Here is a 14,101-nt window from a genome sequence, read left to right on the forward strand (position 1 = left end):
CTTTGACTAACATAAGAACTGTGCCAGGCATGTAGCAAGAACTCAGATACTTCTTGAATTAATGATTCAGACTAACTGAAAAGTTATCATGAAGGGACAGATTCCAATTGTACTGTAAACTCTTCTTCTATGCCTAACTACTGTAATTGTGTTTTATAAAAGTTTGACTACTTATCACGCTACTAAGTAAGAGTAAAAACATTTATAGAAAGAACACTGCTTTCTTATATCATATGTCCTGGACTTACCTTTGTGTTTATGTGCAATAAGTGTCCAAAAATGTTTGTAATGGATAATTGTGAAGACGTCATTTACAACCTATCTTACTTCAAGGGACTTAAAAGTAAGTACAAAAGGCTAAATTTTAATATTATTTTCTTGAAACAATAAAACCTACCGTTTTATACAAATTTACTTGTTTCTCTAATTTCTACATGGTCTGATGATCATAATTATGATAGCCTCTGTTATAGTATTGGCTGACTTCTAAAGAATTTTTGCTTCAGAAAACTGAGACATTTCAAATGGATTGAGTTTCAATTGTTGAATAGAACATAAGGAGAAATAGGATTGAGCAGTTTTATGTCCAGGTACATGATTTGAACATGATCATGACAATCAAAGAGAAGACTGGTTGGCCAGAAAATATAACTTTTAACAGGCATTAAGCCATTTCTCAAATTAAATTTATCATCTAAGGAACATCATAGCATTAAACTCACATATAAATAGCCTTAAAATGGATGGCAGTGGTGGCATGTCTGGAATGACCACTGCAAAGGCACCGACTGGAGAGGGGGAGGTGAGGCCATGGTTATGCGCTCTATGGAGCCAGCAGAAGATGTCAATGGATGGAAACCCACCCCCTTCCAAATTGGCAGGGCAGGAGCCCTGCTCTTCTAGGCACAGCTGCAGCCACCCAACTGTGGATGTAGATCTGGGCATCCCTGTGCTTTGGGGAACCCCAAAAGACTCCCTGCCCCTGTAGGCTCAGACGTGCCTGCTCCTGCTGCCTGGCCTCTCGCTGCTACTGGTGCCAGCTCTGATTTCAAAGCAAAGTTGAGGATAAGCTTGGGCACTGTTAAAACCTTGCTGGTGTGTGTGCATTCGGGGCAGTGCTGACACACCAACCCCCTGCTACCTAGATATTGATTAGGGTCCTAGTTCCCTTTTCTCTACAGGACTTAAGGCTAATTAAGGGGAATATTGTAAAGTATTCAGATGACCTGACAGTTATATAGAAGCCTTCCAGAATTTAACTCAAGTATTTGAACTCACCTGGAAGGACATTACGTTACTTTTGAATCAGACCCTGACTACCACTGAAAAGCAGGCCACCCTGCAAGCAGTGCAGAATTTTCGGTACGACCTTTGTATCTCATATAGTTTCAGAGAAGGGGATGAGCCTTATCCCGTTGGAAGAACAGCAGTACCACTGGAGGACCCTAAATGCGACACCAGTGATGAAATGGAAGAATGAAAGAGGAAGCACTTTCATGTGTGTATACTGGAAGGGTTACGAAGGACTAGGACTAAGCCTTTCAATTAGTCCAAGCTATTCATGATAGAACAGGGATTAGATGAAAATCCCACTGCCTTCCTGGAAAGGCAAAGAGGGGCCTTGGTAAAGCACATGTCTCTAACTCCTGATTCAGTTGAGGGACAACTGATCCTGAAGGATAAGTTCATTATTCAAGCAGCCCCTGATATCAGGAGGAAGCTGCAGAAACAGGCCATGGCACCAGATAGTACTTTAGAGAACCTCCTGAAAGTGGCCACCACAGTCTTTTACAATAGGAATCAGAAGGAGGCCCAAGAGAGGGAAAGGAGACACAAGAAAAAGGGAGAGGCTCTAACAGCTGCCTTGCAGGCTCACAAATCCCAAAATCCCTTGGATAGACCTGTTAACTGCTACAAATGTGGCAAGCTGTGGCACTTTAGGAAGGACTGTCTGGACAGCAGGAGGAGGCCACTTTGGCCCTGTCCAATTTGCAATGGGGACCACTGAAGACCAGACTGTCCTTGGAGACAGGTCACTGCGTCCAGCCCAAATGGTCCAGCAGGACTGATGGGCCCTGGGGTACTTCTCCCTGGCTCTGATGGTTCAGAAGTCAAAGGGAGAAAGGTGGACCTCCTCCTGGACACTGGAGCTGGTCTTTCAGTTCTCTCCAATACAGCTCCCCTCTCCTCTCTTAGCAAGATTGTGGAGTGGGGAGGGCATCTCAGGAACACATCTAACCCAATATTTTTCCCAAACCCTTAGTTGTAGTTGGGGAGACCTCTTGCTTACTGTTCTCACCTTTGTTCTGTTCCCCACCTAAAACATTTTTGTCAAGGACTCCTTAATCCTGAACTCCCAAGGGATTATCTACCCCCTCAAAAGAGTTATTTCTCTCTTAAAGTTTAACTGCCCCCATACAAGACTTAATTTTTTTGACCAGGATGAAACAGCTCTAGTCACAACATTCTTTTTCAAAATAGTCTACGTTTTAGATTTCTAGTTTTTTTTTTTCCTTTTAGCTCCTCTTTGTATAATACTCACACTTGATCCATGCACACTTAACCTCCTTGTAAAATGTGTTTCTTCTTGTCTTGAGGCCATCAAACTCCCAGCAGTCATGCAACGGGAGCCTCAGATGATGGCTCCTTTCTTACCAGGGACCCTTAGATAGGCCTCTGAGAGAGATCTGACTGCTGTTTTCCCCAGAAAAATGCCCCCTATCATATGAAGCAGTTAAGAGTAGTCATTGTCCCTATCCTAATGGCAGTTAGATGTACCTCTTCAGAGGGGGGACTGATGGCAGTGGTGGCCTGTCTGGAGAAGCAGTTGCAAAGAAGCTGGCTGTAGTGGAGGAGGCATGGCCTGGGCTGTGTGCTCCATGAAATGAGCATGAGCCAGGACAAGGTAGAAGCCTCACCACCCCCCTTCCAAGTTGGCAGGGGAGGAGCCCCACCCTCTTAAGTGCAGCTGCAGACACCCAGCCACAGCTGAGGAACCAAGCATTCTTGTGCTCTCAGGGGCCTGAGAAGCCCCCTGCCCCTGTAGGCTCAGAAGGGCCTGTTACCACTGCCTGGCCTCTCCCTGCTCCTGGTGCCCACTCTGATTTTGGAGCAAAGTTGAGGATGACCCTGGGTGCTGTTGTGACCCAGGCAGATGTGTGCACACTTGGGGTGGTGCTGACACAGCAGTCCCCTGTCACCTTGGCTCCCTCTGGACTTTGGGCACCAAAGAGCACAGGAGAGAGTTGAGGGAAATCTGAGAGTGGCTCAGCATGGGCCTGCAGGAACCCCTCAGCATGAACAGCCTGGGTGCTGTGGACAGCATATTGATGGTGGCAGGAGGCAGACAGGATCCTGGACAGAAGACAGTGGCTCCCCAGTGAAGCCTCACCTTCAAGCCAGGGATGGCCTGAAGCCTGGGGGCTAAGCTTTCACTTCTGTGATCCAGAGTGAGAAGTTATGGTGCTTTCTCTCGCCTGCCTATGGCTGCCCACAGTCCACTCAACACACACTTTCTTCCTTTGGAAGCCCATAAAAACCCTGGACTCAGCCAGACTGGGGAGACAACAGGACTTCCTGCCTGCAAATAGGAGCTACCCACTCTGGGTCTATTCTCCACTAAGGGCTTCAGATATTGGGACAACATGCCTGCAGATAGGAGCTACACACTCTGGGTCTCCTCTCCTGAGAGCTGCACTCACTGGGATGATCTACCTGCAGAAAGGAGCTACCCACTTTGGGTCTCCTTAAAGCTATACTGTTACTCAATAAAGCACCCCTTAACCTTGCTCATTCTACAGTTGTCCATGTACCTCATTCTTCCTGAGCATGAGATAAGAACTTCTGACACTGAGTGGTGAGAGTGGAAGAGCTGTAACAAACAGGGCTAAAACACGCCTCTCAACTACACTCACCATATTGCTGGCAATGAGAAGGAGAGAAGAGTGGCAACCCTTTGGGGAGCCCAGACCTATGGGTGCTCCGAGTCAGGAATGTGACACCCTCTTTGGGGCTTTGCAGTTTCTGGCATTTCCAAGTTTCCAGGCATCACCACATTCCCCTCATCCAGACATGGTGCCCACAGTGAAAGCTACTTGCAATGCATCTGATTCAGCTGCAGCTGGCACTAATTAAGTACTTGTGCTGGTATCAGGAGCAACCCACCCCTCCACAGCAGGAAGCGTGCCAGGCTGTGTGCTCAGTGGCCAGACCCTGTGCTCACTCACTCATGCACCCCTCACTGCTCCATGCCTGGCTTGCCCTTTGCAATTGTGGGATTCAGGCTGGTAACACAAGATGAGTGCAGCCTGCCAGGGCGAGTGGGCAGAACGAGCCTAACAGGCCTGAGCAAAACTCAGGCAAAGGTGCCCCTGGCCACAGAGGCTTCTGCCTGGAAAAGCAACACCCTAAGAATCCTGTGACAAAATCATACATAAGGCCAAGCAGCATAACAGAATTATTCTTCCTCTTCAGAAGATATTTTTGGCTTTTTTGTTTCCTGTTTTTAAAATTAACAAAAAGTTTTAAGTGTTTTGTTTATATGCAAGAACATGTGCAAACAAGGGTGGAAAAGTACATGTGTGCAATGTCTATGTTTTTACTTCTAATTGTGTATGTGGACTTAATTTAATACAAAAAGTGAAGCTCTGCATGCTTGAAATTTAATTAAATTCAGGATCACATAATAAATCAGTGATCAGAAACATAGTATTAAAAAATATTCTTTAATCCCATAATGAAGGTTGTATTGAGAAAGGTTCCAAAAAGAGATTGCTTCTATAAACTAAAAGATGTTTTCCTTTGTATGTCTATACCACTAAATCTTGTTACTTTAAGCTTTTCATCAGCCTCTGAACTATTCAGTAGTTAATTTTCAGAATTTACACTGTCTGAAATAAGGACACAGATAAATAAAAAAGTCAATTTTATATCAATAATCATATTTAAAGTATTAAAAAGAGGAAAAAGTAAAGTGAAAAACTTTCTCAAACATTTAACTGGAAAACAGTGAAAATATTCATTGGTGAAAGACTGGTCAATTAAACATTTACAAATCTGTAAAACAGTAAATATAAGAGATAAACTCTACAAAATTAGGACAAAAGAAAGTTATCAATGCCCAATGTCATTAGTGATAAAAGAGACAGATTAAAGGGCAATTTCAATATGCTGTGCATATAAAGAGGCTTAATTTATTTCCATCCTAAGATGATTAGCTCATAGTTTGTGGAAGGCATATCAATTGTTTTATAATCCTGTAAGAAACATTTAAAGGTTAATGGGAAACAGTGAAGAGAGTCTGAACCCTGCAGAAAATACCCCATAGATTACTTAACACATTTAAAAAGGAAGATCACCCACATTCTAAAATTGTCAAGAATTCTAACATGTTATACTTCTTTGCCATTTTGTTAAATAGGATTTTTCCTTCAAGATGGATACTTTACATTATTTTAAATTGTGTCTAGGTAGGAAGATTCCAAAAGATTTCTGCATAATCAATTTAAGCCTGAAAAGATTAAAAAGTCTCTATATTTGATTTATTTTTCATCCTTGAGCATATTTTAGAATTTTAAAAGTTAACCTTTTTTATTTGAAATAGATCAGTTTCACAATACCCAGTGTGTCATCATTTGCACTTTTTTTGTCTAAATAAAAATACAAATTTTCAGTGAATATGGATCTTCAAGATATATTTCCTCTTAGACCCAAATCATAAAATAAATTGCCAATGAATATTACATGCAAGTGATGTTAATATTTTGCAATGTATCAAAATAAAATTAACTTATTTAACCAATGATGAGTCTAATTATTTTTACTTAAATGATATGTTACCTAGGAGCAAATATCTGGGTTATCATATCATATTCCAGATATTAGAAAGTAATAAGGGTAATTTCAAAGTGAGATGGTAGTCATGTGTGTGTGTGTGTGCATGTGTGTGTGTGTGAGAGAGAGAGAAAGAAAAAAAATCAATCATGTTTTAGCACAGAGAGATGGGAGCAACATATATAATCCTATATTTTTACATCTTTCCTAGGACAAGCTTTTTAAAATAATTTGCTATTACTCAAATATAGTTTCCCAAATTTATGTTAGGTTTTGGCCACATTTCTTCATTTAGTTTTCCATTTATTTAACAAATCTTTACTGAGTTAATTCAGGACAATCTAGGTACTGCAGGGTGAGTTATATTTAATGGGTCCAAATAAAAATTACAAAGTTTATTGCATTAAGTGAGATAGAAAAAGTCTTTCAAGAATCATATCATTTAGCTTTTAGTTATATTTATATAATAAAATATAAAGTAGTTTGTCCATGAAGAGTACAATACAATGGCCAAAGATGTTTCTATCACATGACAAATGTCCCCCGAAATTCAAGAAAATACATCCAACAAATAAAGTAATTAAAATTTAATGCAAAAAGTTGGTTTCTAAAAAACTATAAGCCTCAGATTCGTTTTTGGCGAAATGTGCTGTCTTTTCAACTGCAAATTCCTAGTGTCAGCATCTTAAACTATGTTGTGAAATTAAATTGGATTAGGAAAGAATTTTAATATGAATGAACAATGTACTAATTGCTAAGATGTTGCTGTTTTTAAAAGTAATTACACTTTCATTAGACAAAATGTTCAAAAATTTTTTTACCAAGCTTTGGATTTGGCAGAAAATTAAGCTATGTGTTTTGGGTACATACCTGATTCTAGTACAAATGAGACATTATACTAAAATTTCATTGTTCTTGAACAGCAATTTCAGGTATATATAGAATTTGTGTATGTGTGTGTGTGAGAGAGAGAGAGAGAGAGAGAGAGAGAAAGAGAGAGAGATAGAGATGGTTAGGCTTTGTGTCCCCACCCAAATCTCATCTTGCATTATAATCCCCATAATCCCCACATGTCAAGGGAGAGACCAGGTGGAGGTAATTGGATCATGCGAGCGGTTTTCCACATGCTGTTCTCATGATAGTAAGATTGTTCTCAGGAGATCTAATGGTTTTTTAAGGGACTCTTCCCCCTTGGTTCCTCCCCTTTCAGCACTTCTCCTTCCTGTTGCCTTGTGAACAGGTCTCTTCCTCCATGATTATGAGTTTCCTGAGACCACCCCCTCCATGTGGAACTATGACTCAATTAAACCACTTTTCTTTATAAATTACCCAGTCTTGAACAGTTCTTCATAGCAGTGTGAGAACCGATACAAAGTGTATGGGTGACTTTGTAGGAATGTGCGCACGTATGCACTAAAATGATACTATCCTTCGGTTACCAAATAGTAAGTAGATTGAAAGTTCTTTCAAACATTTTATCTAATGTGAAAGATGCCACATAAGGGTAAGTAAGAATCCATAGTAAAATGTCACCAGTAAATTCACTGTGCTAAGTCTACACCAACATATTTCTTATATTTGATGTGTATTCCTTAATAAATTTTCAAAAACACAGATTTATTGGATTCTAGACCTTGGTTCTTTTTTTTCCATTTTTATTCATTTCTCCTAAGTGCACACACAACAAATACAGAATCTTCTTATAACCTCCATGGCTATAAATATAACTAATGTTTATTTAATTTATTAGAAAGGAAATCACTAACTCTTATCTCAGTCAGAAGTAAAGAAATGGCATTACAAACCAGCTCCACAAAGTCATCATCTATACTTTGGGGTAGAAAAGACACATTGTCACATGGTAGTTTTCCTAGTAGTTACAGTTCTTGCAACTTGATTATACTATTGGATCAAAATCTGACAAGACCGATGAAATCAGCTTATCTTCCAGAAAGCAGGGATATAGGTTGTGCATTCTCCCCAGGTGACTTCAGAGAGATGAAATCAGTGGGGCACTAGATAGCTATCCCCCTGGCTGGGATGGGCTTAATTGTCCTCAACAGAACACAAACTGTCCCCTAGGCTAGAAATTCTAAAAACGCGTAAATGCTAATCTAACATTAAAAGTAAGCAATGAATTACTGCATATATTCTTAAGAAAACTTCAAACACTCAAATAAATAAGGACCAGAAGTAATAGAATTTTCATATACAATGAGGAAATGTTCAAAATAATTTGCAATATTTTATAAAAATAAACTGTTACTTCTGTAATTTAAGGATATAATCAAAAATCTTTTCAGAGCACAATATGCAGTACATTGAAAAGTGCCCAATTCTGTATATTTATGAGTCGAATAGGTGCTGAAGAGTCAACAGTAAATGAGTAGAACGGTAACAAAATCAATATGAACATTGATTTCCTGTCTTTTTTTTTGGACCTTATGGTACATTTTCACTTTTTTTTGCTCAGAAATAAATATTTCCATGAAGACTTTCATTAAGTTTTCTATAATGATCTAACACCAAAATATATTTTCAAATGGACAGCTCCCATTACTAAATATTCCTTCTAATAATGGCCTGGATTTTAAAAATACGTGAAACTATGTTTATTGTAGGAAAACAGCATACTCTTGTTTTATATAGTTTATTTTGTTTTATTTAGTTTATTTTGTTTTATTCTACTTTATTGCATTTTATTTTATTTTTAAGGAGGTTGATTATGCTCAGCTTAATATCAGAAAGCACCTAGAATAGCTATTGTTAAGACTTTATCTCTTTTTGGTATAAAATGAAAAATGTAGATATGTAATATATTATATATTCATGTATCTATTTAGATAATATTTAATACAATTCACTTCAAATCAGTATATATCATGATTGAAGTATTCAGGTTGAAATCACTTAGAAGCTGAAAATAAAAGTGGTCAGTGAAAATGTTTGGTCATTTTCCAAGTAGCTTGTTTGCCATAATTTCTGCTTTGTATACACCACCCTGTTAGGATAGAATGCTGACTAAATAGAATTATTTCTTATTCCTCAAAAATATACTTGGTACAGAGATAGCTTTTCCCAAATGCTAATTAAACTTGAAGCAGGCAACCATATACAATTTTGAGAGATAAAAAATTTTCAGATTAAAAAATATGTGTCATATAAAGAGATATAGCTATATTAACCGAATAAACAATAACACATCAATACAGCTCTTGTGAAGAGAGCATACCTAAAAAGAGAAATTGTGGGCTTAAAAAATATCAATAATATGAACAAGATAAGGCTCAGGAATTGCATCATGTATTGAGATTATCTGCTGATATATTGCTTGCCTGATTTGTTTTGGGATGTGCTCAACAGCCAAATGGTCAGATCAAGGTGAGGAAGAGATCAGCTGCAGAACTTCAGAATCACAGCTTCCTCTCTTACCTTCCACTGAGGAGGACGCCGATAACCACTGCCAACAAAATGACTCCCACTGTCACAGACACAGCAATTACAGGAATCTGGCTTTGATCGCTGGATGCTGCAACTGCTGATAGGAGATACAGAAAATGGAGCTTGTGGTTAAAGTGATCACATGCATTCAAAATAAAAGTTGCTTAATAGACAGTAATCAATTCATGATTTAAGCAATTTACCCACACTTAGCTGAAATTTCCCCTAATATCCTTTCTTAAAAGTGTGTAATTGAAAAGTCATCTATAATAGAAAATATTTACTTTCCAAATAGAGATTTGAGAGCATCACTAAGTCACTGATTATTTCCTTGTCATAATAAAAAATGAATGCATGTTGTTTGCATAGTATTCATCTAGGGGCCTTAGGTCTGTGAATTAAAATGGAACTCCTTTATTGACTTCAAACACCTTAATCTAAATAGGAGGTGCCAGGTATATAAGATTTGACATTTTTAGAGTTTGTATTCTGCTGTTCTCTAGAAAAGAATCTGATGAACCCAGATGGGATTTTTTTCCCCATAGACATTGGAGACATTGATGACCAAAATAATGTGACTATGACCTCATTGAAGTAAAATATAATATCACTATTCTGAATATTATTATAAAAATACAATGTAAAGCACAATATATTTCATAAATAAATTCACTTTTTGAAAAATATGAAGGTAAACATTTAGAAGTATAGAAAACTATCTTACGATTGGATACATTTACATCACCTACTCTTTATATACATAGATTTAGATGAAACATTTTAGATTTTAGCATAAAATTCCCATTATAAGAGGAATATGAACATGATTAGGTAGTTGTACTTAAATAAGCAAATAAATTTTATTTTTGTGCTGATAACTAATCTTGATTAAAATAAAACGCCTTATAGGGCAAAATAAATTGTACTAATGTTCATGAGAATCTCTCCATAGAATATCTAGCATGCTTCTTGTTTAATGACATGATCAATTTGATAACTTCAAAGTAGCACTAGTTCAGCTTCATGGTATCAAATATTGTCATAGAAATTAATAACAATCTGTGTTTTGTTTTTCACAACCCCATACCAGATGTTGGTCTACCAAGAGATTTGGATCTCCAAATACCTCCCTTTCTATTTTAGTCACATTGTTCTTGATTCTTTCTACCAAAACTAAGTGATTTGCTGAGGACCCTCTTGCACTGATCTACTTTCAAATATTCTAGACCAGTAGTTAGATCCCAATATTATTAACAGCTGTTTTGAGTAAAACTATTATTTTCAATATAAGTCAGTGCTCTTACCTTCTCTCTTTTTGCATAATATATACAATAGTATTACCCTGTTTTCTCCTAGTCTCTGACGCTAAGGTCTATGGTAAGAAATTTAGTTATTGGCTACAGTATAAATGAGGTAGGAAAAAACTACCCCCAGAGTCGCTAGTACCCTTTCCCCAAGGTCTGCTTTATTAATCTCTAAACTCATATTATTTCTACCACTATTTTTTTTCTCTCTTTCTCCTTCTTTTTTTGGCAGAGGTCACTGTTTCTAGAGAAACCCATCCAGACTTCACTCAGAAACTCAATGTTACTTGAGTGAGCTGCAACTGCTGCTTGAATGCCTTAATTCTCTAATTAATTTCCTAGTAAAATCATCCCCGTAATGAGACGTCTTCATTTGCTCCGTGTATTAATCCATTCCCACTTCCCACATTTGAGAAATGCTAAACTTTCAAAGATCTCCCTCTGGGAGAGGGTTTTGCTGCCTTATAAACTACTCTGCTGCTTACAAGCCTAAGCAGATATCACCTTTAGGGAGAAATAAATATTTATATCTAAACTTACTAGGGTTAGTTCAATCCAAATTGGAAAATAGGTCCAGCATTTTAAAATTCTGTCTGAAATTTTTTATTCTTCTGCCTTTGAATTCCACAGATGATATTTGCCACATGCAATGAGTGCTTCTCTATTTAACTTACCCTCCACCATTGTAAGGCGTTTGACTTAGCTAAACGTATACCTTAAACTTGAAACTCTCCTCCTCTTGGTTTCTATGGCATCAGACAAGCTGTTTTACTCCGTCCCTCTCTATGAAGCACTGCTTTGTCAGTTCTGATGGCTTCATATTCTCTTCCCACAGCAATGTATGAATGATTCTTCATGAATGCTCACTCCTGACCCTTCTCACTTCTCTCCATTTCTTTCTGTATTTTTGTTTTTTATCCTCCCCTTCTTTCTCCCTCTTTCTGATACTTCTTCCTTCATGGTGTCAATTAACAACTCTCAGGGTGACAAATTTATATCTCCAACCCTTATTTCTCTCCAAAGAATCCTTTCATTTTTTTAGAACAAACTGTTTAGCCCTTTGTTTGGATTTTATTGTTACATAAAAATTAACATGTTTAAAATTGGCCCTTATACCACATCTACCCCCAAAGGCATTAACAAAAACATATATCAGCAAATAAACGTATCATTAATCAAACAAAAAAATCAAACTGGTTTGATCTCTTTCTGGTTTCTTTGAACTGTTACTAAATCTTTCTTAACTTCTGCTTGTTCATTAATTATCAGATACTATTGTGTTTCTTTTATGTTTCTCCCCATACATCAATTATTTTTATCCATCACTCACCTATTTGATTCAAATCTGTATAATGAAAATGGTGGAATATGGTTCATAGCATTTTAACTGTTCTCTCAGCCTTCTATGTACTCAAATTAAATATCTAAAATATCATTTTTATGATGTTTCCCTGATCAAAAACTTTAGAGAGTCCTACTACCTTTGGAAGAAAATTCTCAAATGCTCAGTCTAGCATTCAGAAGCCCTTCTAATCTAAGTCTGATAATTATTCCCACTCTTAATGTGCCAGTTTGGGAACTCTCACAGATACAGTTTTGGAGGAAGAGTCCACAATTACTCAGAAATAAGGGTAAAAACAGAGTAACTTCAGATTGGCCAAAGTATTAAATTTGAGAAAAAATATAACATTTTGGTAGTGTCAAATTCTTCATTTTTAGTAATTTCCAAGACCTAAATTAACAATGTGCTAAAGTAGTGCACCTCTGTGTAGAAAAATATATTGCATTAAAATAATTGCTAATGACATTCAAAAGACTGTTAAAATGCTAAGACATTTTATGAACATATTTTATAAGTAACATCAAATCGCAAACATTAATATTCTATGTGTTTATCTAATGTCCTCTGAAATCAGATCATTTTTGTATAAAAAGCAATCAGAGCCTATTTTGTGAGGAAGAATTTAAAGAATATATTTTTGTTTATTATTTTAATTTAATTTATTTATATAATTTTATTATTATTATTTTAAATTTACAATATTTTCTAAAGTCCTTGATGGGTTTTACATTTTCTTTTTTTTGTGGAGACAGGGTCTCACTTCGTCACCCAGGCTGGAGTGTAGTGGCATGATCTCGGCTCATTGCAACCTCTGCTGCCAGGGCTCATGTGATCCTCCCACCTCAACCTTCCGAGTAGCTGGGACTACAGGCCTGCACCACCACCTATGGCTAATTTTTGCATTTTTTTTTGTTTTTATTGTGAAGGGGTTTCACCATTTAGCCCAGGCTGGTCTGAAACTTCTGAGCTCAAGTGATTCGCCCACCATAACCTCAGGTTTTAATTACTAACTGTTTCACATGCATGAATTAATTTGTGAGCTATTTCTAATAAGAAATGATTCATCAAGATTTTTGAATTGTTTATTCTTTTGTTGGACCTGAGGGCATTAATGATATCATTAATTATATTAACTCAGGTGAAAATAAATAATTTACAGGGTACTGTCAATGCCTTCATGCTTGTTGGTTTGTTTAGGAGTGAGAAAAAAATATTTAGGTCAAGTAGGAGATATGGTAATCATGTTAGCATATTGTTAAAATTTTAATCTTTAAGATATATACCTTTAGTTATGCATGTTTCTTATTTTCTTATGTTTAAGAAAATTAGTTTATTAATGATGCTGTTTTGGAAAAACAGCTGGGAAATATCATGGGAACACTTAAAAGAAAATATTGAAGCAATGTAACACATTATGGTGAAAGGTCATCAATTATAAAAATTAACATTCTGACAAATTTACAAGAAAAAAACAAACAACCCCATTAAAAAGTGGGCGAAGGACATGAACAGACACTTCTCAAAAGAAGACTTTTATGCAGCCAAAAAACACATGAAAAAATGCTCACCATCACTGGCCATCAGAGAAATGCAAATCAAAACCACAATGAGATACCATCTCACAGCAGTTAGAATGGTGATCATTAAAAAGTCAGGAAACAACAGGTGCTGGAGAGGATGTGGAGAAATAGGAACACTTTTACACTGTTGGGGGGACTGTAAACTAGTTCAACCATTGTGGAAGTCAGTGTGGCGATTCCTCAGGGATCTAGAACTAGAAATACCATTTGACCCAGCCATCCCATTACTGGGTATATACCCAAAGGACTATAAATCATGCTGCTATAAAGACACATGCACACATATGTTTATTAAGGCATTATTAACAATAGCAAAGACTTGAACCAACCCAAATGTCCAACAATGATAGACTGGATTAAGAAAATGTGGCACATATACACCATGGAATACTATGCAGCCATAAAAAAAGGATGAGTTCATGTCCTTTTTAGGGACATGGATGAAATTGGAAATCATCATTCTCAGTAAACTATCACAAGAACAAAAAACCAAACACCGCATATTCTCACTCATAGGTGGGAATTGAACAATGAGAACACATGGACACAGGAAGGGGAACATCACACTCTAGGGACTGTTGTGGGGTGGGGGGAGGGGGGAG

At 37.2% G+C, this 14,101-nt stretch overlaps 1 protein-coding gene across 13 annotated transcripts in view; it reads right to left on the bottom strand.

The window, feature by feature from the left end:
• EPHA5 (EPH receptor A5) overlaps positions 1–14,101 on the bottom strand; it is a 350,923-nt gene that overhangs the window by 75,543 nt on the left and 261,279 nt on the right. For 8 of the 13 annotated variants that reach the window (NM_001437321.1, NM_001437313.1, XM_017007878.3 and 5 more), the window contains one exon: positions 9,265–9,370. In NM_001437321.1, coding sequence (NP_001424250.1) covers positions 9,265–9,370 — 106 coding nt within the window. The remainder of the gene's footprint in view (positions 1–9,264; positions 9,371–14,101) is intronic. The other 5 variants (NM_001437320.1, NM_001437319.1, NM_182472.5 and 2 more) reach the window with 1 other exon arrangement.

Source organism: Homo sapiens, chromosome 4 (genome assembly GCF_000001405.40).
Source record: "Homo sapiens chromosome 4, GRCh38.p14 Primary Assembly".
Lineage (NCBI taxonomy): Eukaryota > Metazoa > Chordata > Mammalia > Primates > Hominidae > Homo > Homo sapiens.